Raw genomic sequence first — 27,940 nt, forward strand, 5'->3', positions numbered from 1 at the left:
CTATCTCTCATCATTTACTTCTTCCTTGTCTCTCTGCTACTGGAGAATGGCGTGGAGAAATCAGGCTCTTAGAGATGAGTATCAGCCTTCTCCTCTCGCCTGCTTTGAAGAGTGTTCAGGGAGCAAAAGGGTTCATGCCAGGTGTGGTGGCAAGGCTGAGGCAGGAGGATGGCTTGAGCTCAGTTCAAGACCAGCCTGGGCAACATAGGGAGACCATGTCTCTTAAAAAAAAAAATACTGGGTGTGGTGCCTCATACCTGTAATCCCAGCACTTTGGGAGGCCGAGATGAGTGGATCATTTGAAGTCAGGAGTTCGAGACCAGCCTGGCCAACATGGTGAAACCCCATCTCTACTAAAAATTACCCAGGTGGAGGCTGGGCTCGGTGGCTTACGCCTGTAATCCCAGCACTTTGGGAGGCCGAGACAGGCAGATCACCTGAGGTCAGGAGTTGAAGACCAGCCTGACCAACATGGAGAAACCCCATTTCTACTAAAAATACAAAATTAGCCAGGTGTGGTGGTACATGCCTGTAATCCCAGCTATTCCAGAGGCTGAGGCAGGAAAATCACTTGAACCTGGGATGTGGAGGTTGTAGTGAGCCGAGATCGTGCCATTGCACTCCAGTCTGGGCAACAAGAGCAAAACTCCGTCTCAAAAAGACAAAAAACAAAAACAAAAAATCAGCCAGGCAGTAATGGCACGTGCCTATAATCCTAGCTACTCAGGAGGCTGAGGCAGGAGAATTGCTTGAGCCTGGGAGGCAGAGGTTGTGGTGAATCGAGATTGCGCCACTGCACTCCAGTTTGGGCGACAGAGTGAGACCCTACCTCAAAAAAAAATTAGTCTGGTGTGATGGTGTGCACTCATAATCCCAGCTACTCGGCAGGCTGAGGCAGGAGGATTGCTTGAGCCCAGGAGTTCAAGGTTGCCGTGAGCTACAATTGTGCCACTGCATTCCAGCCTGGGGGACACAGTGAGACCTTGTCTAAGAAAAAAAGAAAAGAAAAGAAGAAAAGGAAAGAGACACAGAGAGAAGGAAAGAGAAAGAAGAAAGAAAGAAAGAAAAGAAAAGGGCTCCATGAAGAAAAGAAAAAAAAAGAAAAGAAAAGAAGGTAAACAAATGGACTCCATCTCCACTGCGCTATTAAGTGGGCAAGATTATTAACTGACCCAGCGGTTCTTTCCTCCCCTTCCAAGTCATAACAGCAGAACAGTTTTCAAGGAAAGGTCTAACCAAGCCAGAAGTGGTTGAAAATGTATTTATTTTTTTCAAATGATCTTTTTCAAGCAATAAATAAAACCAGACATATTGACTTCTAAAAAACAAAACCAAACAAAAAAAAAATCCCCTAAACTATATACATCCTACAGGAATACAGGCATTATCAAATGTAGAAATGGTATCACTCTGAAAGATGGGGCTATTTACACAAGTTACAAGAATTGCGTTGCTGTCTTTAAGAAGTCTCCTCCTTGAATAACTCATAAACTCTAAGGGAGAGAGAGTACTGGTGGGGAAGCGGGGTTCAAAGAGGAGACATCCTCCATCTTTATTGATGGACAAGACAGTCTCAAGGAAAAACATCAATATCCAAACACCGTATTGAGTCCCTTAACAAGGCTCCACAGATCAGCTGGCTTTCAAAAAGCCTGGAAGGGTGCTCCACTCAGGAACTCCCAAGAGAAACCATCTTGTCCCTCAGCCAGGCTGGGACTGGCAGTGAGGCCATGCTGAGCCAGTGGCAAACCCGTGGCTGTGGTTTCCACAAGACAACCTGGCTCTGTGCTGTCACACCCAGCCTCCAACAGCGCCTTGACATCCAAAAAGCATGGCAGTTTCCCAAGCTCGGCTGCACAGGGAAAACACCCGGGGAGCTACGAAACACACTGATGCCTGAGTCCCCCACCTAGAATTGGTTGAACTGGTCTAGGAGAGCCTGGGTATCAGAACTGTATAAGTTCCCCAAGTAATTCCAATGCGGGACCATGGCTTTACTACTACAGGCTTGGTTGATGGCCAATTCCCAATCTCCAGCCTCTTCCTGTCATGTTGGAGTCAACTATCCTATGTCCCTCTCTCCATCTTCCCAAGATTTAAAAACCTTTCTCATGGCTTCCCAAATTGGAAAACTCTCTGGAATCCAGCGTGGATGAGCAACTGAACAAAATGGCTTTGGGAGGGAATGATGGGAGCTGGGGCCTACCAGTCACCTGCTCTTCAGCCTAATACTGCTCTGTGGGAAAACTTGGTCCATTTCCCCCAGGGCTCCTCAACACACACCCCTGGGTCAGACGTTCTGGGAGGGAATAGGCAGCATTCCTCACTCTACAGAACACCCAATGAGCATCCTGTCTTTCATGGCTAATACCAAAGTTGACAATCAATGAGGGTCAATGCTTTCCTGTCATTACAGAAACTTCCCATCACCAGAATCCCTTCATGGGAGGGATGGATGCCTGTTGAAACTCACTGACCTATTGGACTGACGCTGGGGTGGTATCTTCATCAGAGCTATTGTAAGTCATCCAAAAGGCTTCTGACGAAAGAACAATTTTTAAAAAGTCCCTCTTTTCAATCAAGCCAATGTCCTATTTTATTTCTAAAAGTTTTGGGACTCGTGCTGTTATCAAGTACAATGAAAATGGCTTTATAAATAGCTGTTTTGACATTGTGATAGAAGGCTTGAATTCGGAGGAAAGATGTCGCTGGAGCTAGTCCTGAGTTCCGACTGTCCCTGTGGTGGGAATCCAGTCTGGGAAAGCAGGACTGTTTTAGCAAACGTGTACTCGTTCTATAAAAATGGAATCTGTTCTGCAGGTTACCGTCCCTCCCCGCCCAAGCATCCCCTCTGTCCTGTCTCTCTGCTGCTGGGACCCAGGGCTTTTTCAGCTGCAGAACCCACTGGACTTCCAGGAATCAAGGAAAAAGTGGAAATGTCCAACTGTGTTGTCTCTAAATGGTTCCATTGTCTGGGAACTGAAACCCTCCATGCTTCACCCTGAACTGTTATTTCTAGAGGAAGCAGGGAGCCTCTGGCTCTTCTAAAAATTGCCAGTGGGAGCTCTGGCCTCACCCACAGGCGGAGCTTGGTGAAGTCAGGATGAATGATGCCGTCACAGGTTCATGGTTCATGGAAGGAAAGGTAACCAACCTTGTCCTGTCTAGGATGCCAGATGAGAAAGAGTATCCCAACGTGACGGTGACATTGAGGCTTGACGTTATTTATGGGTGAGCAAGAATGTTCATTAGATGTAGACTCTCAAAGGGCTAAAAAAAACCATGCTCTCACTTCTAGACAAGTTTGCAACAACCTCTAAGCTGGCACTCCATAACAAGACTGTTCCACAATACTACAAACAAAATAGCATGTAGCTTGTTCCCTCCTCCCTCCCCCCCAAACCCTCCCCACAGAAAACGTGTCTCCCTCCAAAGCCATTCTCCATTTAGAAAGGCCCAACTAAGGATTCAAAATGGCACCCACGTGCCGACGATAGATTCAAAATGGCGCCTGCGTGCCCATGACGCACGTCACGGGAGCCAGCGGCCAGCCCCCTCACCAGCAGTCAGCCCCAACCCCACCCTGGCGCTTTGATTTCCAGTTTGGGAAATTCATACCAATGGAATCCGATGTAAGCAATCCACCATCAGCTCACTGATGCTCTCTTGCCCTTCCACACTTCGAGAAGACCTGAAATGTGGTGTCCATTCCCCTCTTTATTCAAAAGAGGACCTTCAAAAATATTCACCTAACTAGGAATTTAAAGAACACAAGAAATTGTTGGTATATTTCACTTCAGGTAACTGCCCTAAAATTAAAACCTCCAATTTATGCAAAAAAAGAAAAGATGGTGCTTCAATTTACAAAAGGATTCATTTCAGGGTTATCTCTAGTTGTCTGGTTTCCCCAATGGCTGGCCTTGCCAAATGATTTGCTGTAGGAAAATTTGAACTGCACCCAATTTTCCAGGAGCACCTTAGTGTAATATGGCATATTGATCACAGACGATAGACAAGTCTTAGGCAGGTTTATGCAAAAAATGCTGCAACCACCCAGTGATCATCGGAGGGAAAAAAGCTTGACTTACTGTGGTCTAAAATTGCTTCGGTGGCCTACATGCCCATGAACCAGCTTCAAAAGCAATTCACATTGGTCATGATGACACACACCTGCAGTCCCAGCTACTCAGGAGGCCGAGGTGGGAGGATCTCTTGAGCCCAAGAGCTTGAGATGAGCCTTGGCAACATAGTGAGATGCTGTCTTTTTTTTTCTTTTCTTTTTTTTTAAAAAAGCAATTCAAACCTAATTCTTCCCTTTCTTCCTCCTCCCACCCAACCCGCCTGCTTCTCAAGATGAGCCTTGGCAACATAGTGAGATGCTGTCTTTTTCTTTTCTTTTTTTTTTAAAAAGCAATTCAAACCTAATTCTTCCCTTTCTTCCTCCTCCCACCCAACCCGCCTGCTTCTCAGTGGCAACAAACTCAAGTTGCTCATCATGCTACCTTGCACATATCTACAAGACACCATTTACTTCCTAACTGCCTTGACATCTGCATGCTACGGTGCTCAGCTGTTTGACATCAACATAAATATATTCTAAATCCACTGTAACTAGACTTTTTGTACTTTCATACTCTGAAGAAAGTCTTAATAAATACTTTATTATTAAGCATAATTATTCATCTGTTGGTGACTGAGAAATGAAAACCACACCTTCGAAGATTTCTTTTAAAAAATGAAATTCCTTTAACTACAACAACGACAACAAAGGGACAAGTACACAGAACCAGGCACTTCTGGGAAACTTGTCTTCTCATCCCTTTGCCCTCCCTTCCTCCCCCTTTAGTAAAGCTGGTTGGGCACATTTGCTAGGATCTGTGGGTTTCATCACTTCAAGCCTTACTGCTTAAAAAAATGAGGTAAGAAATTTCTATCGGAAAAGTGAAACTGACACATAAACCAAACCAAGGTCTTCCCTGGCTGCTGCGGCAGCCGTTATTGCTCTAAGTTGGAGTGTTCTGTTTGCTTTTATTATGTATTCGGAGTCCTTATTGCCATTCTGGCTGGCCTCGTCGTTGGCCAAGGAGAAATGATGGGGAAGGAGCTCGGTCGCCTGCTCCCAGCTGCTCAGTCCCAACTTTCTGCCCGCATGCGGCCCGTCCTACCCTTGCTGGGAGCCAGCTCTGGTTCTGGGGCCCCCAGGGCGGCTCTAACAGCTGGGAGAGGTGGTGATGGGGCTGTGCAGGTAGGGCAGGCTGCTGGGGGCCGAGTGCACGCCCACGGAGACCGGAAAGCTGAAGACGAACTGCGAGGTGGGGGTGGCGGGGGTCTTGCCCCGCTCCCGCAGGGGTCCCGAGGGGCTAGCAGCCTCCGCAGCACAGGACGTGGCCAGCACCTGGGACTCGAACTGCAGCAGCTGCCCCATGAAGCTGAAGTTGGGCGAGATGATGCTGCGGCGCTGCTTAACGAACTCGAAGGCCTCCTCCAGCCTCACCCGTTTCTTCATCATCAGGTAGGCCAGGCAGATGGTGGCCGACCGCGAGATGCCCGCCTGGCAGTGCACCAGCACGCGCCCACGGCAGTCCTTCACGGCATCTGGGGACAGGGTTCAATAGGTTAGTGCACGTTTCTGCAGACCCCAGCCCCGACCAGGGGCACCGGCCAGCCCCTGGGGTCGGGGGGCTCTGAAGGAAGGACTAGCCGTGCTAGACCAAGGACTGGAGAGGAAGAAAACCCATGTAGGCAGGTCTCTAGAATGCCCCCAATTCTGAGGTCTATTTTCCCGAATCACTATGCTGAAGCTGGTTAAATCCTATTATCTGTTCAAGGATTTCCCTTTGCAGAAACAAAACAGTGGGGTCCAGGGTGGTGGCTCACTCCTGTAATCCCAGCGCTTTGGGAGGCCAAGGAGGGTGGATAACTTGAGCTCAGGAGTTCAAGACTAGCCTGGGCAATATGATGAAACTGTCTCTACAAAAATACAAAAATTAGCTGGGCGTGGTGGTGCACTTGTAGTCCCAGCTACTCCAGAGGCTGAGGCAGGAGAATCACTTGCACCCCAGAAGCGGAGGTTGCAGTGAGCTGAGATGGCGCCACTGCACTCCAGCCTGGGCAACAGAGCAAGGCTCTGTCTCAAAATAAATAAATAAATAGAAATAAAATAAAAACTATGACTCAATGCTCCTTGTGTCTTCCTCCCCGTCCAAAAACTCTTACCATCTAGGCACTGAAGCCATGCAAGGGGAAGGGGACTGGCTCTGCAAGCTAAGCCTGTGTGTAGGTCCATCTTCCCTCCTCCCTCCCAACCCAACATCCAATGTATAAGCCTTCCCAATGAGGAAGAGGGGGAATGGGGACCCTTGGATTCAGTGCCTCCAATGTCCACCTTCAACCCAGGCTTACAGGGGTTCCTTATCCTTCCCACCCGCCCTCAAACCCAGGAACCCCAGAGCAGGGCCAGCCTACCGATGTACTCTATGGCTTCCATGAACCAGGAGCTGATGTCGGCCTTGTGGTTATCTTCCACTGGGATGCACTTGTACTGATAGTGTCCTTCAAAGTGGTTTGGGCAGTCCGAGGAGACATTCAACAGAGCCGTGATGCCCAGGGCGTCCAGCATGTCTCTCCGGGCAGCATGGTAGGCACTGCCGAGGTAGAGGAAGGGAAGGATCTCCACAGGACCCCCCTGCACAGAAAGGGAAACAAAGGCCCCTGAATGACATGAGGGTAAAGTGCTTGGCACAGGGAGTGGAAGCTTGTCTGAGAAGAGCTTTCCTTTCCAAACCCAGGGAGAATGCCTGCTGGGCCTGGCCCTCCCAGCCTCCCCCTGTAGCCTCCTGGAACTCTTGGAGGGGTGATAGGCCCAGTGGGACTTCTCCAGCCTTTGCCCTCTACTTGTGAGCAGAGAGGCCAGGGCAGGTAAAGTCTTGTGGGACTCTCCTGCACCTCCCCCATGGCAAAATAAGCGGCAGGACAATGCCGGCCTTATGGCACCATCTGTGACACTGAGTTTATATCTGCTAATCATCAAGCCATTTGCTGTGTGGTTTAGATACTTATTTGTTTTGATATGTATTCACTGGGCATATCAAAAACAGGTGTGCAGTGGCTCACACCTGTAATCTCAGCACTTTAGGAGGCTGAGGTGGCAGGATCATGTGAGCCAGGAGTTCCAAGACCAGCATGGGCAACACAGTGAGACCTCATCTCTCAAACAATGAAGCTGGCATGATGGTGCACACCTGTAGTCTCAGTTGCTTGGGAGGCTGAAATGGGAGGATCATTTGAGCCCAGGACTTTGAAGCTGCAGTGAGCTATGATTGCGCCACAGGACTCAAGCCTGGGTAACAGAGTGAGACTCTGTCTCTAAAAATAAACAAATAAATAAGCTGATGCCCTCATGGCCACACAGACAAGAGAGAGGATCTTGGCAAAATGAGGCAACAGTGGCTTAAATTTAGCACATGAGATGTGGGCAGCAGAGTCCATCTAACTGAAAGGGCTGGAGGGTGGGCTTATAAGAAACACAGTGGCTCAAGCAGGTTTTCTTGGAGGGAGGGTGGGTGACCATCTATGTTCATTCGGCTGATACGTGGGAGCAGCCTGCCTGTCGGGGACTGAGATGTATTTCATGGCCTGCTACTTCAGAGGAGAATGACCTCAGCTTCCCAGAGAGCAGGTCCCCCAGGGCTTCTGGAGGCCTCCTCACTTGTCCGGACACGACGTTAGAGGCCAAGCCAGGGAGTCATGTCTTTAGACTTTTTTCTTAGGAGGATATTTAGAGAGGGAAGGGGAAGATTTCCAAGAAGTAAATAGGTCCTACCTAACATCCCACCCCAATACTCCGGGTTCACCGCATTCTCCCCAAATTGAGGCATAACATTCAAAGACTTAAAAAAATCTCAGGATTGGATGCAGTGGCTCACGCCTGTGATCCCAACACTTTGGGAGGCCAAAGCAGGAGGATCACTTGAGGCCAGGAGTTCAAGACCAGCCTGGGCAACATAGCAAGACCCCCCCCCCCCATCTCTACCAAAAACCTTTTAAAATTAGCCAGGCATGGTAGTGCCACCTGTAGTCCCAGCTACCAGGGAGGATCCCTTGAGCCCAGGAGTTCGAGGCTGCAGTAAGCTATGATCACACCACTGCACTCCTGGGTGACAGAGCAAGACTGTCTCAAAAGCAAAGACAAAAAACACCGTCAGAACTCTGAAAAGAAGGCATCCACTGGCCCCTACGCTGTTCCTGCCCCCCACTTCCAAGCCCTGCCCCCCGAGTCTACCTGGTCGTGTAGTGGGGTCCCACAGGAGCTGCAGCCCAGGTCCAAGGGCTCTGTGGCACTGGGGGGAACCGGGGGTGGGATGGCTGCCAGGGCCTTGGTTTTAGAACAGAATTCTGGGTACTCGGAGGAAAACCTCTCATAGCCGCCTGTAAAGGAGAAAGAAGCTCAGGTTAATGGGGTCACTAAGCCAGCAGGAAGTCAGAAAGAACTCGACTCCTACAGACTCAGGCGGACTGCTAGGAAGGCAGGGGCTGGCGTGCTCCATATTGGCCACTAGGTGGCGCTGTGGACCTAGAGAATGGCCATGGAGTGGTTTCCAGAGATGCAGAGGACACACTCGTCAGGACTGCAGCAAAGCTGGAAGGATAAGCTTTATGGACAAGACTTGGGTTAGAGAGGTAGACATACAAAGGAAGACGTGCAGGGGGATGTGCAGAAGTGACTGTGGAGTAGCTCCTCAGGACAATGACAAAATAGAGAAGCAAAGGTCACGCTGGGCTTCCAAGGACACTAAGTACCTGTAGAGACACCTGCCACCCCTGATTCCAGCCCTTCCTCAGGGGAGGTTCTCCAATGTGAGAAAGAAGGGAAAAAATGACCCTGGTACAAACTCTTCTGGATCTCAGCAATGGAACAGATGTCCATTGCACGTCCTCATGAATAGCTGTTCCGTCACCAAGAGACCAGAACAAGAGGAAAACGGGCTTAAATCTAAATAAACCCCTCATGCTATGTACAGGTTTGGGGCAAGGGAGTATTTCCTGACCTGAGAGTGGGTAAGCCCTGGAATGGTTATCTGTGGGATCATCTTCCAGAGAAGGGAGATCTTTTAAATAAAAAAAGAAGATGATGATAAATGGCCAGCTGAGCTGGGGTAGGGTGAGTGCTCCTATCTAGGAGGGGTGGAGGCAGGTGGGATACAGGGAGAGGCCACAGGGAGGCCATCCAAAAAGACAACCTTTCAAGCCCTATCTCTGGCTTTCTTGTGATCTCTGGGACTTCCTTTTGCGGCCAACTTCCAATCCACAGTGCTATCAATGTATGGCCCTGCTTTTATTTTTATTTTACAGTGTCTGTAGGGCCAGAAATGGATTCAATTGATTCAGTAGGGCCTGTGCGTTGGAGAACCACCATTCCAACAAACCCATTCAACTGACTCCAATGACAATTTGGCCAACAGTCCTGGATGTCGCTACCTTTGCGGTCTTCATGACAGTGACATAGGACCTCTGTGCCCTAGGGCCATTGATAGAAATTTTCCAATGTGCAGACATGTGACGGTGAGTCAGTCACTTGCGCCAAATCCCAACCCTAAAGACTGCTTCCTACTGAGAGGAAGGAAACGGTTCTCTACCACATCATGAGGCTTATAGAAACAGGGTGTACATTTTTTCCTCTCTGACCGGAGGCTTCTCTATTCCCCTCCTCTCCCTCCCTCAGGATATAAATGGATCTCTCTCTGGTCACAGGCCCTTGTTCCTGCTGAGTCACAGTGACCAGCCTCCCTGGATGGAAAACCTGCTGGTGGGGCTGGTACCGTCAGCCTCGGTCATGCTGGTGGCCTCGGCAGCCACTTCATCACAGAAGCACCCCCTCCCTCCCATCATAAACCCCTTTCCTTATTCGGCTGCCACCACTGCTGCCCAAAATGCAGTAATTAGAGGATGAGGGAAGAGGAAGGAAATATCTGTCTGCAGCTGAAGTCCTTCAGGGGCTTCTGTGATGGGAAACTTCAGTCCATGCTCCCTTTCGGAGAAAGTGGAAGGGAAACTCATTCATTAACAGTGGTTGATCACTTGTATCCCAAGCCATCACTTGTTACTCTATATACTTCTCTAGGATTTGAAAAAATTCTAAGTACATGATCCTTTTGTCTATTACATAATTTGAGCTATTAAAACACATTTTAAAACAACATGTTAGACACAGGTGGTGTCCTGCAAAAACTCACCACCAAGACAGACAAGCTATCGCCTGCACTCAAAAGTGAATGGTTGGGTGGCCCAGGAGTGCCAGGGCAGGCCCCACGGTCACAGAGCAGAGTGGCCCTCAGGGCTGGAGAAGCAGGAAGAGCCCAGAGCAGCTGAGAGGATGTTGTCTCCATTGCTGAGGGTATGGAACAGGGCACTGGAGTGAAGTTCCGAAAGGGCACAGGCTCTGCCATGAGGTTGCACCCCACCCTGAGCATGTATCACCTGTGCAGCCCGGGCCTCCTGAACCTCTCGGAGCCTCCTCCTCGTCTGTAAGTGATGAAAGTCCCCTGCACAAAGGCCTATGAGGACTGGTTCTGACAGCCAGGCTCTGTGCCTGGCATCAGGGAGACAGATCATGAAGTTTTCCCTTCTCGGTGCCTACATGGAGGGGTGCCCTCGGATGCCCTCAGCAGAGATCCTCAAAGGCCAAAGAGGAACCGGGGACAGGGTAATGCTGGTAAGGTACTGGGCATTTGACAGCCTGCTCTCCTGGAAACCTGTCTCTTGGTTTCCGGAGACCTCCAGACCTCCATCTTCTCTCCCAGGCATGGCCATGGCTGCCACTCAGCAGAACCCTTGTCAGGGACCTGGCACCGGCTGCTGGCCATGGAGTGGTGTGGGGGGCAAGGAGGGCCCAAGTGACCCATTTGGTGGGGAACAGGCTAGATGTGGCCTGAGAGGGCCATTCGTCATCTCCCCCAGGCTCATCGCAACTGTCTGGAAAAGGCACCATTAGAAGGCAGCAGAAAAATGATTACAGAAAAGTCAGTTCCCTCTGAGGGAGTTTTAAAGAACAAGCAAAAATGAACAAGGTGAGCTGGGCGCGGTGGCTCACGCCTGTAATCCCAGCACTTTGGGAGGCCGAGGCGGGTGGATCACGAGGTCAGGAGATCGAGACCATCCTGGCTAACACGGTGAAACCCCGTCTCTACTAAAAATACAAAAAAATTAGCCGGGCGTGGTGGCGGGTGTCTGTAGTCCCAGCTACTCGGGAGGCTGAGGCAGGAGAATGGCGTGAACCTGGGAGGCGGAGGTTGCAGTGAGCCGAGATCGCGCCACTGCATTCCAGCCTGGGCGTCAGAGCGAGACTCCATCTCAAAAAAAAAAAAAAAAAAAGGAACAAGGTGAAGAAGCAGATTCGCTCAAGGGGCAGAAACACTGGAAGGTTCTCGTCCCTGACAGTGGTGGCCAGCTTTTGGGGGTCTGTGGCTGGTTTCACAAGATGCCACACTAAAGGGGGTTCCTTTTGGTGGGCCCTGGGCTGCACTCAGGCCAGCACTCATGGGTGAGAACGATATGTTCTGGGCTGGTGGAGCCCGGAGGACACAGTGAAGGTGATGCGGGAGGATGCATGCAAGTTAGCATTTATCCATCGGTGGAAGAAGCTGCTCAAGTCCACCCCCCACAGGGCCATGCCCCAGTAAGTCATCTCTGGGTGTCAGTCTATGCCACCTCTGCCTTCCACCCCTTCCTGGTGGGCCCTTCTCCAGGGGGCACTGCCTGCAGGTTTCATCAAGTGAAGACAGACTTTTCATGCAAAAACAGAACTGATCCAAATAGGGCACTGCTGATATTTCACCAAACTCTGCTTCTACCCATTGGTTTCCTAATCCAGGCTGTCATTAAAGAGTCATGACCCACATTTTTAAAATGGAATACAATAGAATAGGAATTAGGAGGATGCACTGCCCTTAAAGAGGATATCATTTTATGGAACTTTTCTTCAGATGTGCATGTATCCCTCTCCTGGGTCACAATATAAATTAAAATGTGTTTCTTACTGTGGGCAGGGTTAAAAAAGATTATTCTAAGGTGACTTCCACTCAGTCCCTCCTACCCATCCCCAAATCCATGCAAGTACCATAGCCACAGCCCTTTCAAGAGCTAGATTTAGATCACCTAGTTTTATCCCAAAAAATCATGAAAGGGAAAGCTTATTCTCATTGTCTACAAAGGGGCTGGGCTCCTTCCCGTGCCCCTAGCAGGTGTGCAAGGAGAAGTGGAGACAGATCCAGGTGTAAGTCCAACTCAACTTGTGGAACTTGGACAAGTATGTTCCCTCCTCAACTCTGGTTTTTCCCACTCTCAAAATGTAAGAATTTCTGATTATAATGATCTTTAAGTTCCAATATCCTCTGCTTCTAAATATCCAGGATCTACTTATTTGCGTGTCAGTTTTGCCAGCTCTGAAGCAGCAGGTGCCTAAAATCTGCATTTCTATCTCCTGAATAATTTCATTATCAAATGTGCCATTCTGAATGAATGAATTCTGTTTTTCCTATGCCCTTTGAATGTATGAAATGAATGTATTGAACGTGTCTGTGTCCTACTGAATGTAATTCCATAAGAGGTTTCTTACTAATTTCAACCTGTTTTTCCCATGTCCTTATTTAAGAATATATTTTCTATTCCTAAATCTCTCATTTTATCACCTTTATTTTACAATTTGAAAGTCTGGAAGAAAAAAAGGAGTGTGATTTTCATCAGACTTACTTAAGAATAACTCCATCTACAGTTCAACTCCACTGTGCCTCCTCCTTCTCACATCCTCATACAGGGAGGCAATTTTCCAAGTTTAGTGGAAATGAGGACCCCTCATTAGAAGCCCTCCACCACACTCCCCCGTCCCTTGCAGGAGTAGGAGATAATGTATGTAAAAGTACTTTACAAAGGGCAGATTGATAATATCACCATAATAGGACTGTTACTGGGATTTGTGATGGGGAAGACTGTCCTTTGGTGGTGACTATGGTCATGGATCTTTTTTTTTTTTTTTTCCCCAGACAGGGTCTGTCACTGTCACTCTCTCACCCAGGCTGCAGTGCAGTGGCACGATTATGGCTCACTGTAGCCTTGACTTCCCTGGGCTCAAGCAATCTCCTTGCTTCAGCCTCCTGAGTAGCTGAGATTACAGGCACATGCCATCTCGCCCGGCTAATTTTTGCATTTTTTGTAGAGACCAAGTTTGCCATGTTGTCCTGGCCTCAAGTGATCTGCCTGCCTCAGTCTCTCAAAGTGCTAGGATTGCAGGTGTGAGCCACCACACCCGGCCTTGGTCATGAATCTTAATGTGGCTGCCACTTTTTCCCCATTATGCCCCCAACACTCAGAATAGTGCCAGGTCCCAGGCAGGGCTCATGGCCTTGCTCTTGCCAGAAAAGTCATGCTCTTGCAAGAAAGTCTGGGGTTGTTTGAAGGCCATTTGCCTTTGGGAACTCTACTTTATGTGACTGTTGACTTAGTAAGCACCTATGTAAATGCTGAGCTGTATTTAAAATCCAACTAAGTGAACTTCTCACCTTGAGACTCTGAACACAGACACCTGGACCTTCCTGCCAGCTGGCTGACACCTAACGCCATGCTGGGGGCTCGAACTGGTTTGCAGTCTCTCCCAGTCCTCCTGGGCGATCTGCTATGTTCAGCAAACTGGCTTCCGTTGGAGTGAACTTTTCTTCCCATCGTGCTTCCTCTTCGTTAGCCAGGAACTGCCTCCCGGTAAGGAAATCGGCTCTCTGGTTTCAGATGTTCTGATTTTTTTTCAAGGAATTTCTTGGCTCGGGAAAGTGGCCACCCTTTCTCTCTCCCTCATTTTTCTGAGCAGTCCATTTTTGTGGGTGGAGCCCACCTCTCCTATAAGCACCCAGGATAAGCCCAAGGAAGTTGTGACGGTCTAAAGGGTCAAATTTCACTCTCAATTTACACCTACATCTGTCTTTAGTTACTTTTGTTAGTTGGAGACATCCAATGTAAATGGTGTCTAACATAGTGAGTTTGCTTCATTGTAAAAAATCACCTGTAAGACCTAGCAACTTATGCTTCCAGTCCTTGGCTGTCATGGGCATTGTATTACATTTGTAAGCAGAAACTACCATATTTGCAAGCAGAAAAGCGAGTCATTTTCCCTTTAGGTAGAAAAGGTATGCAATATTGACATCCCCCAGAGCTGTGCTGTTTGATGCCATTGCCCTCCTGGGGAACTGAAGACAGAGAGAGCAATGGTGGGGCTAGAGAGAGAAAAAACAGAAAAATGTCACCAGAGTTTCCAGAGCTGTTAATTGTGTTCCTCTCCCCCCACATTCATCAGTGGCCTTAGTGACTGTTTTCTACAGAAAGGGTAATATCATGGGCTGTATGGTCAGGCCCTGGGCTATTGGATGCTATCCGGTACTATAGGGTGAGTGGAAGGAGAAACTGGAATATCTAGATGATCTTCCCCATTTCTCCAACAGCTCCAGGACAGCTTTTAAATTAGAACTGACAAAGGCTGAGGGAAGTTTTAGGTAGGTGGAAAGGAAGGTAATGTTTTTATACCTGCAATCTTTTTGCATAACAGATTATTTTGTTATTTGGGGTTAATAAAGGCAAAGAATAGGGTAAGAAAAAGCTCTTTTTGTCTTTCTCTAATGACCAGGGGAGTCTCAAACTCTAATCCAAGGATTTACGAATGAGAGAGAAAGGGATTTCAAGAAGTGTATTGTGATAAAATCTGAAAAACTAAAATTTCCAAACTGACTCTAAAAATGCCTTACAAGATTTTAAATTAAATGAGTTTTAAAAAAATTACCCCACTGGAAATCCTTTACTAGCAAAGATAGAAAACATTAGATTTTTCGTTATTGCTTTTAGCAAAAGTCGGGTAATCTGAGGAAATGTAAAGGCTAGGCTGTACTTTCTTGATATTAAGCGAAGTTTACCTCCTGCCACCTGCATGGAGTAACCAGTTCAACGTGGTTGAAGTAACCCTTCAACGTGGCAGAAATAGAAAAACTGAATTTTAAAATGCAATTAATAGAATTAGATAGCTTTGGCTGGACATGCTACTATCACTTCTGAAAATACTCTTGTTGCTTTTACTGCTTCTCCTAACCCCTCCAAGAATGGCAGACACCAACCATCAAGCCTTCCACTGGCTTCCTGTCCTGCTTTACAGACACGCACAGGCACACCTGAAATGAGACATACATACATTCCCTCGCTGGAAAATAAAATGAATTACTCCAGTAGGAAACAAATTCTCCAACCCTTCACCAATTCAGGCATTTACTAAAGATAATCTAAGGGGCTTTTTCTTCCTTTGCTTCTCAAAATTCCCCTTTAGGTCTCTGCCCCAGAGCCCCCTCCCGGGAAACCACATTTGCTCCACTGCACTGGCTTCCAGGCATGGAAGGGAGGTGTATCTGGAGACCTGGGAGACACCTTGATTTCCTTCCCCAGCCCCTTCCCGCAGAGCTGTGGGAGCAGATACTGACTTTTTCCTTCTGACCTCTCTAGGGATGCCTTTCCATTAGAGGGCAAAGAGGAAGAAGAGGAACTGGGTTAAAGATGGCCTCTGCTGAACACATATGTCAAAATCAGCTAAGCTAAACCGAATAGGGCCCAGTTAACCTCAACGATGTTCACCACAACAGAGCAGGCTGGAAGATTCCCCCACCTCTCAATTTTAGGTGCTTGCTTCCAAGGGCAGGCTCCCTTTGGAAGCAGAAGCTGAACTTCTGGCTAGGAGGGGCTATTCTAGAAGAGACCGAAGCTAAATCTGTGGCCCAGGCCTGCACACCTCCATCTGCAAGGATGTCCACTTTGAGATGCAGAAGATGATTCTCCCTGCCCGCGTCGGGGCCGACTACGAGAGGCAGTGCAGGCTCCAGGAGGAAACAGCCCTTAAAGTACTTCTCTTATGTTGGCCAGGCACCTCGCCACCCACCAGAGGGCTGTCATTTTACCTAGAGGCCTGTACTACCCAGTCACTAGCCTCGCCCAGAATCTCCAGGGCTCTCGAATCGGTCTGGCTGGGGAAATGGAGGAGGTTGGGGAGGGAGGACTCTCAACGGGATTCACGAGGGACAGGGAAATGCCGCGCGCCCTGGGGATAAATCTTAAAAAATAATCCCTCTCTCCCCGGGAGCGGGGCCTAAGTGGCTGCACCCCCGGAAGCCCAAGGGCCGAGGTCCTGGAGCTGCCGCTCTAGGGCGGTCCCCTCGGGATTTCTTCCAGGAAGGAAAGCAAAACACAACAAAACAAATCCAGACTCCACGTGGGGCTGGAACCCAGTCCCAGCCCTGCTGTGTTCTAGCTGGTCCCGGGTTTGGACGCCAGCGAAGGAAGGCGCGCCCGCGCTCTCCATCGGGGGGACTCGAGGGCAGCGCCGTGCGGGGAACATCCCGGCCAGCCCCGGCCATTCGAGGGGACTTGCGTCCCAGAGGAATTGCCCTCATCTCTCCCACCAGCGCCGACAAGCTCAAACAATGGCGCGGACGCCCACCCTGGTGGCCTAACCAGGACCTGGCCCCGCTCAGCCGCCAGGCCTTCCGGGACAAGCCCCTTCCTGGCACTTTCTCTTGGAGCGCTTTGGGGAGAAGGGAGGGGGACTGGGCTCATTTGGAGGAGCAAAAGACAGCCCTCGCGGAAAAAGAAAGAAAAATCAGCAAAATCGCCTTAGCAGTTCAACCAAAGGTCAACAGCAGCGTTTCCCCAGCAGCTGACAGGTCAAATGGGCAGGAAACAACTGCGGGGAACAAAGCCCCCCGCTGTCCGGCAGGGGCGAACCCGGCTCCTCCGCACTGAACAGTTTTGTTGTGCTTTTTGGAGGGGAGAGGTTTCCGCCCCCTTTCCAGCTCCCTTCCTCCCGGGTGGACAGGTCGGAAGAGGAGCGGAAAGGAAAGGAAGGGAGGGAGGCGGCGAAGGCGCCTGCGGGGGGGAGGAGCGGCTCTTTGATGGGTGTGGGGGGGTCTGAACTGCCTACCGGGCTCGGAAGCGCAGACCCTACCCGCGCGGAAGAATGCGCGGAATGCGGCGGCGGGAGGCGGAGGCGCAGCGCGGCGGGGGGCGCCCGGACCCCACGCGCCCTGCCCGCTCCCTAGCCCGAGGGCCGCGGACCCACCCTGCCCTGCAGGTGTGGCGGGCGCCAGGTCCCTCCAGGGACTCGGACAGCACGCGATTTTTCCAGGATTTCCGACTACCAAATGTGACAAGACAGTCTCGCCGCCGAGAGTTTCGCCAGGGCTCGCTAAAATCCGGCACGCGCCGCCATCAGATAGTCGAAAATCCGGGCTGAACAAAAGGTGATCATTCTCCGCTGCCCGGATTTGCAGGCGCTAGAGGACCGGTTCCGCCCGGCGTCCCCCAGATACCCAGTCCTTCAGCCTCCCGCTCCCAGAGCCTGGATCTAGCCCGGGACGGGGATTGGCCACCTTCCAAGCTGAGCTTGGAGTTGGGCAGCGGGAACGCAGATACAGATCGCTCTACACAGTGTGTGCAACCCAATCTCCCTTTCTGCATTTGCCAGGGTCTTGTTTTCAGTGAAACTGGCAAGGCCAATTGTACCTCGGCGCCCACCCCTCTTCACCTTTTCTCCACCTCTGGGATTCTCCCGGTCCGGCTCAGTGTAGGGCCCCAGCACGCCAAACCAACAGGCCTATCTTGTCCCCACGCGCCCCGTGGTACTTGGAAACTGTTCCCGGGACTCAAGATGGACCGCGCAGAGGAGTCGCTTCATCCTCGAGGCTAGGACCGTTAATGTCAATAAACGGGGCCTCGCTAGGACGGTGCGGAATTGCAGGTGACCGGAGAAACCCGTCCGCACTTTCCCTGAGGACTTGAACCTCGCACTTGCACAGAAACCTTGCAAACCCCTACACACCAACACACACAAAGGGGCGCGCGGGGATCCCCGCAACCACGAATCACGCCGGGGACTCCTTCCCGTGCCAATAAGGCGCAGGCCGCCAAGACCCCCTCCATCTCCCCGACTCCAGCTAGCGCCCGGAGCCCTCGTTTACCTTTGAGCAGGCAGATGTCGGTGCGCTCGGCGTTGCGGCGCAGCGCCTGCACCACCAGCGACACGGTGCTGTCCTCGCGGAGGCTCTCGGCGCGCGGGCTGCGCTCGTCGTAGACGATGACCGCCGAGTAGAGGCCGGAGCGCAAGCGGGCGCGTACCTCCTCCTCGGCGGGCAGGATCTGCTCCAGGCTCACGGAGCCCTTAGCCCGCCGCCGCACGATGGTGTTACAGCGCACGTTGACCGAACCTAGGATGTAGCCCGCGCTGTGCGCCAGGAACGGTCTGCAGTCCAGCAGCAGGCACTTGCCGCCGCTCGGCAGCCCCAGGGTGCCGTGGCTGCCGCTGCCGCCCGCGCCGCCGCCATTCTCGTCCCGGTTCATCAGCCTTTTGAGCACACTGCAGTCCATCTCCCGCAGCTCCTCCATCGTCACCATGGTCGCCGGGAACCGAGGCGGCTGGGCGCGCGAGGAAGAGAAGAGAACCCGGGCCGCCTAGGCTGCAGAAAGGGGCGGGCGAGAGCTAAGAAGGGACGCCTGCAGAAGTGGCCGCAAACTTGGTCCTCAAGGGCTCCCGCGGGAGAGCCTCTTCTTCCCTGTCCCCTTCCTCCCGCAGCCTCGCGGTCACATAGCAGTCGGAGCGGCCTCGGGCGCCCAGCCGGGCGGCGCGCAGAGCGGAGGGGGAGGCGCCGGTGGAGGAGAGTGTGTTTACGAGAGAGGACCGCGGACTCTTTTCGGCGACGGCCTCCCGTGTATTTTTGCCGGTCGCGCGGCTCCTGTCGCCACTGGCGCCAGCGCTGCCCTGCCTACGCTCCTCCGGCGCTCAGCGCACTGCCCCAGCCAGAGTTTTCTCCTCGGCTTAGAGGTTTATTAATGCTCCTCCGCGCTCCCGGGGGAGGGGGCGCTAGGTACTACCCCGCCAGGCCCCGCCCCGTTCCATTCCGGGCCCCGCGCCGTCCCCCGCCCCCCGCGCTGTCCCCCGCCCCCCGCGCTGACTCCCCGCCCCCTCCGGGCCCCTCCTCCCACCCCCTCCCCGGAGCTTGAATGGAGCGCGGCCGCTGGCTCCCGGTCACGGGAACTCGACGTCACAAAGAGCGGAGTAAACAGGGCGCCGGGTGCTCGCCATCAGGCCCATTCATAAAACCGAGGCCGAGAGGAAGAGGGAGGCGGCCTCCGACCCGCCGCCAGCGGCGGGCAGCGCCCGGACTTTGTGAATGGAGCGCGCGGCGCCTTTCGCCGTCTACCCGCGGGCCCAGCCTGCGCCGCGCCTCCAGCCCGACACCGGCACCTGTGCCGCCGCTGCACCCCGCCGCTAGGCGGGCGGCGCCAAAGGAAATAGCCGGCTGAGGAGGCCAGGGCTCGGGTTTGAGCTTTCATCCCTTGGCACCTTCGCGCTTCCCCGCGTGACAGCCCCGTAGGTTTTTCCCGGTTACCCAAGTGGAGAGGGGACCGGAGCGCTGCTGCCCACCCAGCGGGGCCTGACACCTCCTAGCCCCAGACTCCCCGTGCGCTTTCGGCCCGGCCAGTCCTTTCTGAATATGCGATTCCTGAGACGTTAGCGTATGCATTAGCGTGATCGATTTTCATCTAAAGCCATTAAATCAGTTTTATAGCTTCCCCAAGAACGTGGGCAACCCCCTGCTTGGAAGATGAAAGAGAAAGTCCTCCCGCCCGAAGCCCAGGATCGGAGTGAGGTGTGGGGTTTGTTGCTTTACTACCCAAAGGGAGGCATTAATTGCCGGAATGGTGTTCCGAGGGAGGAGAGCAGGCTGCGCTCCTGTCCACGCTTCCTAAAAGATGTTTATTTAACCCTGGTCGGGGGAAAAACAAGGTTTTCGGGTTTGGGAAACGTCTTCACCCTATCTTGCATAGTTGTGAATTATCCTTTCAGGAAATGACAGGGTCCACATTTGTTGCGGAGCTGGACCCTGGAAAATGTACCCGCAAAGAATGACCTTTTGAAAGGACTTCAGCAGCTCTGGGTCCGATTCATGTTTCTGGGCATCCCTTTTTCCTGGTCACGTAGCAGCCCTCCCCATCCCCATTTCTCTTTTGCATTTAATTTCCCAGAGGCGGCTTTTGGCTGGGGGTTTGTGCACGCACGCGGTGGGGACCGTGCAGAAGCCAAAAATCATTCGCCCGACATCTTGCCAAGTCTTGTTAGTGAGAATTAATCACAGAGCAAGGGAGTTACAGGACTCGCTCGCAGTTTCGGAGGCTGCAGAGTAGCGTATTCCATTCCGGGGCGCGCGTGGAAGCCCGACCCAGGCAGCGAGGGCACCGGTACCCGCCGGGTCTCTCCCGCCCAAGCTCACCCTCTCCCCATGCCTTTGTTCCGGGCGGAGCGGCTTTCCCGAGCTCTCACCTCCGGTCCCGGGGGCCATCCCTGCACTCCCCGACCGGAGCTCGGCGGAGCCTCCACTTCCGAGACCTTCGACTGGCCTCGTCCCCCACTGGGCCCCGAATGCCTCGACCCCCGGGCCCTACTCGGATGAGCTGTAGGGGCACCGCTTGGGCAAGGTGATATTTCCTTTTGCTCCGGGCTCCAAAATGGCTTACGATGGCACTGCACGGATCCTTTCTCTTTTTAAAATTTAGTATTTTATTCATCATGGATTTTTTGCATTTTTTTTTCTTTTAAAGAGGCATTGCATCAAGATATTTCTTTTGATTACTGACTTTTCGGCGCCCTTCTTAAATGTTGCGCTCAAGGCTTGTGCTCACCCTAGTCCAGGCCCTGGAAGGAGCCACAACTGTGGACTGACCGAGGCTGCCCGGTGGCAGGACCCTGGGCGTCGGGCACTCCGGGTGGGAGATCAGTGGTCAAAGCCGCACGGCGTGGCCTCCCTGTGGGGAGGGCAAAAGGTGTCTGAGTCCAGTTTCCCATTCTGCTGAATGGGACTGTGGGGGTCTATCTAATAACTCGCTTTCGATAAGGAGCAAGGAGCCCCAGGGGCCCCGACAGTCCAAGGCTGATTTTGCTTTCCCGGGTTGCTCTCCAGCAGCTCAGAAATCCGCCGCCTGCCAGGACCCAGGGCCGGAGCTCTCCCGGCGCAAGTAAACACTGATTCCTTTACAAAGGCTTTAACAAGACATTTCTGGGAAAAGCCTCTCAGGAGGCAGGTCCGGGCCAATTTCACGCGTGTCGCAGGAGCTGGGGAGACGTCCCTGGGGCGCACGGGTCGCGCTCTGGGCCAGCTTTTGTCTACCCTGTTCTGGGGTCGCCTTCCCCGCCGGACCCGCGCCTGGCGCTCACGTGGCCAGTAAATAACAGTCAAATCCAGGGGGAGGAAAATGCCCATAGAACAAAGAGGCTTGCTTTCTGCACCTGACAGTAATCGCTGGTGGAGAAGCCCTAAATCCCGCAGGCGATTCACACGGAAAGGGGTGTGGGAGGGCGCGTGTGAGTGTGTGTGTCCACGTGTGCGTGCCCGCGCCTACGCGGCTGTTCACTGGAAGGGAGTCACAGCTTGGGACTTAATGTGTTTAAGCCGAGAGCCACTTGAATTGCGAAAGCGAAGGCCTGATTTTTAAAAAAGACTAATTTTTAAAATCCACACCCCATTGCCAACTCAGGAATTGGCCTTCAGTTGTGTGAATTTCAGCAAAGGAGATTTAAGTTACCATATTGTATTTATCGGGATACTGTGTAAACACCCTAGATATATATTTTTTAATTGTATGTTTGTGAACCATTGGTCCACAGTTAAATGAGTACAACGCGAGGGCTACTCCATGCCGGCTATAGATAAAACCTGTCTCCAATTCGTCTGCAGTCTGTGGACGAAACATAACCATTTTAAACAGGAACCTTGTGAAACAGCTTGTCAATGAGCAGATCTTGGAGAAAACAAAGGCAATTTGGAGCAAGACACGGAATGTCATTTCAAAGTTAATTTAATTAACTAAGGCATATTTGTAGGAATTGGGATGGGATTGCCCAAGGAGAGGTCTTTTATTTATATTCAGCAGTAAACCTCGGGGTGAAAGAACTTTTAAAAATTCGCTGTGACAAGTAAATCCAGCTTCTCTTTCATCAGTCAGTCCTTAGACCGACCTTATTAGTCACTGTCAGGCTCCAGCAAAACACCTGCTCTTGTTTAGGAACATTTCTTTCCAATTAGGAAGTTGTATGATCGGGGAATCTAAAGCCCGGAGTAGAATCCCCAGAGAGAAGTACAGCTTCTATTCTAGTTTTGATGCCAACCTCTGACTCACTGCTCTGTCCCAAAGTGCCTGAATAAAACTTGCCTGAAAAATCATTAATGAATTAATTAAGGTGGTGATGGAAAGAAAAGTCCTGTGGCTTTTCCTTTCTTGAGCAAAGAGGCAGCCTTGCTATTACGTCGAACTGGAACAGGAATAATCCATTTTGCACAGATCTTGTTGGTTAGGCTTCTTAGATCAACTAATTAGGGAACTTGCCCCCTGGTAGTGGGAAGGCTCAAAAGAACTGGGAGACCCTCTCCTGCTCCTGAAAGCAGAGAAGCCTGTGGTCTACACAGCGTGTTCTTAGGCAACGTTTAGAAATGGAATTGAGAAATGCCTGTCCTTCCCTACGTACCTCTGCCCATCAAGTCAGGACTGAAAGCGAAGGAAAGTCTTCAAAGTTCACACTGAACCTAACCAAAAACTCTCAAAGACATAGCCTGAGGATTTCTTTTTTTAAGTCCTGACTTTGTTACAGATCTTTTTTGTTTTCTATGCTTGATACTCTAGCACTTATTAATGATTTAAAAGGCTATGTATCGGCCAGGCGAGGTGGCTCACGCTAGTAATCCCAGCACTTTGGAAGACCGAAGTGGGCAGATCACCTGAGGTCAGGAGTTTAAGACCAGCCTGGTCAACATGGTGAAACCCTGTCTCTTCTAAAAATACAAAATTAGCCAGCATGACGGGCGCGCACCCATAATCCCAGCTACACTGGAGGCTGAGGCAGGAGAATCGCTTGAACCCGGGAGGTAGAGGTTGCAGTGAGCTGAGATCCCCTCACTGCACTCCAGCCTGGGCGACAAGAGCAAAACTCCATCTCAAAATAAATAAATAAATACAAATAAAAAATAATAAAAGATTAAGTTTCTAACCCAGGGTCTCTGCAGAAAGGTTTTAATGCATTGCTTTATTTACTGCTTTATTTTAAAACTATTCAATCTAGGCTATGCCACCATCTAGCTTGGTGGCCTTGGGCAAGACAGTCTCCTTTGGCCTCACTTTCTTCACCTGCAAAATGAAGAGTTTGGGCAGGATGGTTTCTCAGGTCTGGTCTATTTCCGACCCTGTATGATTCTGAGCAGAAGAAGACTTCTCAGCTCCGAGTCCAAGTTTCATAGGTTTCCCATCTCGCCCTCTGAAGAGCCAAGCACACTATAATGCCATAAGATAAAGGACGATCTCTAGCTCCTCCTTGTCCCTGCTTTAGAATATAAACTCATGGACAGCAGAGCTCATAGTTTTTATTTATTTGTTTAGTCACGTGCTAACGTCCCAAGCATTTTGATAAAACGTCTTCAAAATTTCAGAAACAAATTTTGGAAAGAAACACTTCTCCAAACGGGATAAAAATGAACTCGGAGGCTGGGCATGGATGGTGGCTCATGCCTGTAATCCCCCAGCACTTTGGGAGGCTGGCGGATCACTTGAGGTCAGGAGTTGGAGACCAGCCTGACCAACATTAAAAATACAAAAATTAGTCAGGCATGATGGTGGGTGCCTGTAGTCCCAGCTACTCGTGAGGCTGAGGCAAAAGAATCCCTTGACCCGGAGAGGCAGAGGTTGCAGTGAGTCAAGATTGGGCCACTGCACTCCTGCCTGGACAGGGCGAGACAGCGAGACTCCATCTCAAAAGACAAACAAACAAAACAATACAAAACAAAACTAGGTTATTTGGGGTCACTCTAGCTGTGCAGATTCTCTTATTCATTCAACAAACGTGCTAGACTCAGCAAGAGGTGCGGGAAGTAGGGGGACAGATTTGTCCAAAACACTGTGCCTTCAAAAAGCTGACAGTCTCATTGGTCTAGTCAGGGTGTGATTGCCACTGTACATTGCCAGAAAGCAGGATCTAACAAAGTGTCATTAGAGAACAAACAGCATGCCAGGAAGATTCAGAAGAGAAAGGGATGGAGCCGTGTTGTGAGATTAGGGAAATGGAGGAAAAGGCCATCATGAATAAAGTGCATTTCATCTACTTAAATGTTATCCTTGAAATGTCCTTGAGTTCTCTTGTAGGTTTTTTTTTTTTTTAAACTGTTATCTCACCTCTGACATTCATTCTGCCCTTGTGCCTTGTATTCTTTTCCTTTCATTTGTTAGCATCTCTCTTCCCCAGTGGGTTTGCCTGCTAAAAATAGATGAGCAATTGGTGTGAAACTACAAGGGAGCTAAGATGATGCAAAAGCTCTGTAGAAAATCTGTGCCATGGATGAGCAACCGACCTAGATGGTAGCTGACCTAAGTAAGGGCCCGACTCTTTCATTGCCATCTTAAGCAAGTCAGTTGTTCTGTACTTTGATTTTACCATCTGTAAAACAAAGGAAAAACAATGTAATTATTGTTTACATTTTATATTTACTTTTTTCAGGACAACAAAATGTCTAAATCACCTTTCCAAGGCTTCAACAATGAATGTATTTTCCAAATCAATGTTGGAGTACATGGTCAGAAAAGATGTCTTTTGGACTTGTGAAATTACTTATATAAAAATTCTTACCAAGATGGAAGCATAAAAAACACATTTATTTATATGTTTACTAAATCTTCTTTTATTGAAAACAATAAGACAACCTGAAAGCAAGTCTATCAGAGAAAATCTGGGACTTATGTCTTCACTGACAAAATAATAAATGAGACAAAGTGATAGAAGACCTTTGTCATGACACCTGTTTGCTACCAGAGCCCCAGGCCATCGTCATCCACTGATGTCTCCACATTAATTCTGCAGAGGTCCTGGACAGTCTTCTCTGCCCTGTCTAATGGTCAGTTAATTCTCCTTGTAAGCACATCATGGCTGACCAGGTGCTGGACCGCGCAAAGAAAGGTGTCAGAGCTTTCAGCTTAAGCCTTGATTGGGTGGTGAGTAGGTCTCCTGCAGCTAATCAGTGGCTTTAGAAACCCTGGAGTCCTTCAGAAACCCTAAAGTTCTTCCTTCTGATTTTTCTGGTAGACCAAAGGAAAAGGCCAACAACAAACAATTTCTAAATAAGAAATTTCCACCTTAGCTAAAAGCAAAAGGCCTTTGATACTCTATAAGATTGATCAACTCACTTCAGTTGAAATAATGGTTTTCTGAAGTCAAGGCATGAACAGCCTTTCCCCACTGGATGGGATGCTCAGATTACCAGCCCTGGAATGAAACAAAAGGAGAAGACTGTCTCACCCCACACTTCTCAACCATTGGCCATTCTGAGATGACACCTGCAGAGCCACAGCCCCACCTGCCCGAGCACCCACGGGTGCCTTGGTCATCCTGCACCATGGAGCTGCTTGTCTCTCCTCTGTGTAATCTAATCTTCTATGAGTCCAGTTTTTACATGTTTAAATTTCTTTTCCTTTTGTTTTTAGTTTACACATAATAATTGTACATATTTATGGAATACAGACTGATATTTTCATACATGTATCTACATTGTGTAATGATCAAATCAGGGTAATTAGCATATCCATCACCTCAAATATTGATCACTTCTTTGTCTTGGGAACACTCAAAATCGTCTCTCGTAGCTCTTTCAAAATATACAATAAATTCTTGTTAACTATATTCACCCTACGGTGCTATAGAACACAAGAACTTATTCATCCTATCTGGCTGTAATTTTGTATTCTTTAAGCAACCTTCCCCATCTTCCTCTCCCTCATCTAATAACATTCTCAGCCTCTAATAACCACAACTCCACTCTCTACTTCCATGAGCTCAACGTTTTTTTAGCTCCCACATATGAATGAGGACATGCAGTATTTATCTTTCTGTGCCTGACTTATTTCATTTATGTAATCTAATTTTAAAACAATTATTTGGGCTCTCCGGAATCAGTAATACAAAAAGAATACAGCAAAATGTGCTGTTTTCTTTTGCAGAAAAGAATTATAGTCTCTCTCTACGTTTTCCATTGGAATTAGCATAACAGTCCTCAAGGGTTTACCCACTGAGGGAGACACCAAGAGTCCCCTTTAAGCAGAGGGTAATTACATCCTGCTATTCAGCCCATTTACTGGAGGTTAACTCATTAGCACCCCGCCAACTCCGTTTTTAATCTAATCTATTTCTCTATCTCCTCCCCTAGACTCACAATGCTGTGTGTCCTCTCTGTTGCACCTAAAACTCTTCATCAAGTAACCAGGCGAAGAGGTCTGTCTTCTCTTCCAGAAGCCCAAGATCCCTTTTCCAAGGACTGTCTGGATGCCCCTGCCTTGAATCTGAGTTTTATCTTCTGCAGACCTGGGCTTAATTTGCTGCTCTGAAAAAGGACACAGGCTCTGTAGCCAGACAGATGTGGGTTTTGATGCCAGAGCCACCGTTTAAGTAGCTGGGGAACTTTGGGTACGTTTCTGGCCATTGCTTTTCACATCTTGTCACTGGGAATGTTATTATTATTTTATCTATTTTTTTTTTTGAGACGGAATCTTGCTTTGTTGCCCAGGCTAGAGTGCAGTGGCTCTATCTCAATTCACTGCAAGCTCCGCCTCCCGGGTTCACTCCATTCTCCTGCCTCAGCATTCCAAGTAGCTGGGACTACAGGTGCGCACCACCACGCCCGGCTAACTTTTTGTATTTTTAGTAGAGGCGGGTTTTCACAGTGTTAGCCAGGATGATCTCGATCTCCTGACCTCCTGATCCGCCCGCCTCGGCCTCCCAAAGTGCTGGGATTACAGACGAGAGCCACCACGCCCAGCCAGGAATGTTATTAACACCTAGATTCATCATTGGGAACATTTTCAAAAAATGTATTATTATTCCTTATTCCTTTCTCTTAGACAATTTTTTCTTTTTAAGCTGAGAGGTGTCAATAGGGCAACATTTCTGATTTATACATTGTTTTCTCCATGGAGTTGCATTTGGCAAAACTCCAGGTGCATGGAAACACACAGGTGGGTCTTTGTGCCATCAGGCTGGGCTGCTCAGTGGGCCCAGCTGTTAGTCCACGTGTTTGCCTGTGGGTCAACAGAACAGGAAAGGCTCCTGGATTCTCTCTGTTGCTTTCCATCCACCTGGACTGCTCCACCTCCTATCCTCTCTGTCTCCTTGATTCAACTCGATGCTACCCTCATTTATCCAAGCAGAGAAAGGTGCTCCTTTCCTCTTTTAGTTTTCTCTCACCCTTCCTTCTTTTCACATCTATTTCTTACTGTTTCCTGCACAGTGCTTGTCTTTTCTCTGACATTGTATGAGCAATTTCTTTGATACAATGGTAGTCTCCAATTATGCTACTGGGCAAGCCAGCCTAGAGGTTGTGGAACAGAAAGGCTCTCAGACCAACTTAAGTCACTCATATCGCAAGTTTTATTGAATCAGCTGAAAATATCCAGTACTTTCAAGGGGAAAGATGTGAGAAAGGTTCACCCACTTAGCTTAAGGTGCAAGCAGGTGGCAGGACCACACGACCCGATCCTCAGTGACTCAGTGTTCATGTGACCGGTGTTCTCTTCTACATTGACCTTCCAAGCTCATGGGGTAGTTACTTTGGAACAAGGAGGCTCTGCAGAGAAAACTGCCTGAAGCCAAAATGATCTTGCTCTACCAGAGAGATAAAGGGGCAAGTATGCCTGGCCAATAAAGAGCTTGCTAAACAGCCATTGCTTTTCTCTGTGTTTCTAGACAAAGCTCATGTGGGGAGAGATGGGATTAATGTAGTTTCACCAATGATGGCTGATTCAGCAATAATGTGCCTGTCATATAGAGGTGGCATAATACACACGTTGT

The 27,940-nt window shown here is 49.8% G+C and overlaps 1 protein-coding gene and 1 long non-coding RNA gene across 3 annotated transcripts, besides 12 other annotated features; one reads left to right on the forward strand and one right to left on the reverse strand.

The window, feature by feature from the left end:
* Positions 1-1,247: 1,247 nt before the first annotated feature.
* On the reverse strand, positions 1,248-18,868 carry DUSP4 (dual specificity phosphatase 4). Of its 2 annotated transcripts, NM_057158.4 has the most exons (5): positions 15,975-16,989; positions 13,554-14,258; positions 8,282-8,427; positions 6,466-6,685; positions 1,248-5,595 (listed from the first exon to the last, which is right to left on the reverse strand). In NM_057158.4, the coding sequence occupies exons 2-5, from the start codon at positions 13,711-13,713 to the stop codon at positions 5,210-5,212; spliced, it is 912 nt and encodes a 303-aa protein (NP_476499.1). In that variant the 5' UTR covers positions 13,714-14,258; positions 15,975-16,989; the 3' UTR covers positions 1,248-5,209. The 2 variants fall into 2 exon arrangements, with proteins under 2 accessions (NP_476499.1, NP_001385.1); NM_001394.7 differs by lacking the exons at positions 13,554-14,258; positions 15,975-16,989 and adding an exon at positions 18,030-18,868.
* Positions 8,396-8,690: an enhancer, noted in NCBI's record as "tiled region #3532; K562 Activating DNase unmatched - State 12:CtcfO". NCBI's record gives its function as "activates a minimal TATA promoter and a strong SV40 promoter by Sharpr-MPRA in K562 cells {active_cell/tissue: K562}" and the evidence as "EXISTENCE:reporter gene assay evidence [ECO:0000049][PMID:27701403]".
* Positions 16,986-17,155: a silencer, noted in NCBI's record as "silent region_19070". NCBI's record gives its function as "represses an Ori minimal core promoter by ATAC-STARR-seq in GM12878 lymphoblastoid cells {active_cell/tissue: GM12878}" and the evidence as "EXISTENCE:reporter gene assay evidence [ECO:0000049][PMID:35858748]".
* Positions 17,866-18,367: an enhancer, noted in NCBI's record as "H3K27ac hESC enhancer chr8:29207199-29207700 (GRCh37/hg19 assembly coordinates)". NCBI's record gives its function as "activates a minimal SCP1, AML or CMV promoter by ChIP-STARR-seq in naive H9 embryonic stem cells {active_cell/tissue: H9 hESC(naive)}" and the evidence as "EXISTENCE:reporter gene assay evidence [ECO:0000049][PMID:30033119]".
* Positions 17,896-18,045: an enhancer, noted in NCBI's record as "active region_27185". NCBI's record gives its function as "activates an Ori minimal core promoter by ATAC-STARR-seq in GM12878 lymphoblastoid cells {active_cell/tissue: GM12878}" and the evidence as "EXISTENCE:reporter gene assay evidence [ECO:0000049][PMID:35858748]".
* Positions 18,368-18,867: an enhancer, noted in NCBI's record as "H3K27ac hESC enhancer chr8:29207701-29208200 (GRCh37/hg19 assembly coordinates)". NCBI's record gives its function as "activates a minimal SCP1, AML or CMV promoter by ChIP-STARR-seq in naive H9 embryonic stem cells {active_cell/tissue: H9 hESC(naive)}" and the evidence as "EXISTENCE:reporter gene assay evidence [ECO:0000049][PMID:30033119]".
* Positions 18,368-19,045: a biological region, named in NCBI's record as "H3K27ac hESC enhancer GRCh37_chr8:29207701-29208200".
* Positions 18,726-19,045: a silencer, noted in NCBI's record as "silent region_19071". NCBI's record gives its function as "represses an Ori minimal core promoter by ATAC-STARR-seq in GM12878 lymphoblastoid cells {active_cell/tissue: GM12878}" and the evidence as "EXISTENCE:reporter gene assay evidence [ECO:0000049][PMID:35858748]".
* LOC124901924 (uncharacterized) lies at positions 19,158-27,813 on the forward strand. Its single transcript, XR_007060876.1, has 2 exons — positions 19,158-19,718; positions 24,605-27,813. It is a non-coding gene; the product is annotated as an uncharacterized LOC124901924 (long non-coding RNA).
* Positions 19,236-19,375: a silencer, noted in NCBI's record as "silent region_19072". NCBI's record gives its function as "represses an Ori minimal core promoter by ATAC-STARR-seq in GM12878 lymphoblastoid cells {active_cell/tissue: GM12878}" and the evidence as "EXISTENCE:reporter gene assay evidence [ECO:0000049][PMID:35858748]".
* Positions 19,566-19,635: an enhancer, noted in NCBI's record as "active region_27186". NCBI's record gives its function as "activates an Ori minimal core promoter by ATAC-STARR-seq in GM12878 lymphoblastoid cells {active_cell/tissue: GM12878}" and the evidence as "EXISTENCE:reporter gene assay evidence [ECO:0000049][PMID:35858748]".
* Positions 19,676-19,785: an enhancer, noted in NCBI's record as "active region_27187". NCBI's record gives its function as "activates an Ori minimal core promoter by ATAC-STARR-seq in GM12878 lymphoblastoid cells {active_cell/tissue: GM12878}" and the evidence as "EXISTENCE:reporter gene assay evidence [ECO:0000049][PMID:35858748]".
* Positions 23,565-23,863: a silencer, noted in NCBI's record as "fragment chr8:29212898-29213196 (GRCh37/hg19 assembly coordinates)". NCBI's record gives its function as "represses an EF-1alpha promoter that drives an FKBP-Casp9 reporter gene in an ReSE screen in HepG2 liver carcinoma cells {active_cell/tissue: HepG2}" and the evidence as "EXISTENCE:reporter gene assay evidence [ECO:0000049][PMID:32094911]".
* Positions 25,900-26,401: an enhancer, noted in NCBI's record as "NANOG hESC enhancer chr8:29215233-29215734 (GRCh37/hg19 assembly coordinates)". NCBI's record gives its function as "activates a minimal SCP1, AML or CMV promoter by ChIP-STARR-seq in naive H9 embryonic stem cells {active_cell/tissue: H9 hESC(naive)}" and the evidence as "EXISTENCE:reporter gene assay evidence [ECO:0000049][PMID:30033119]".
* Positions 27,814-27,940: the final 127 nt, after the last annotated feature.

Source organism: Homo sapiens, chromosome 8 (genome assembly GCF_000001405.40).
Source record: "Homo sapiens chromosome 8, GRCh38.p14 Primary Assembly".
Classification (NCBI taxonomy): domain Eukaryota; kingdom Metazoa; phylum Chordata; class Mammalia; order Primates; family Hominidae; genus Homo; species Homo sapiens.

Coding starts and splice junctions, on each gene's coding strand:
- DUSP4 (NM_001394.7), bottom strand. CDS start 18,462: ATGGTGACGATGGAGGAGCTGCGGGAGATGGACTGCAGTGTGCTCAAA. Junction 8,428..18,029: donor CGACATCTGCCTGCTCAAAG/GTAAACGAGGGC, acceptor TCTCCTTTACAG/GCGGCTATGAGAGGTTTTCC. Junction 6,686..8,281: donor GGACCCCACTACACGACCAG/GTAGACTCGGGG, acceptor CTTTCTGTGCAG/GGGGGTCCTGTGGAGATCCT.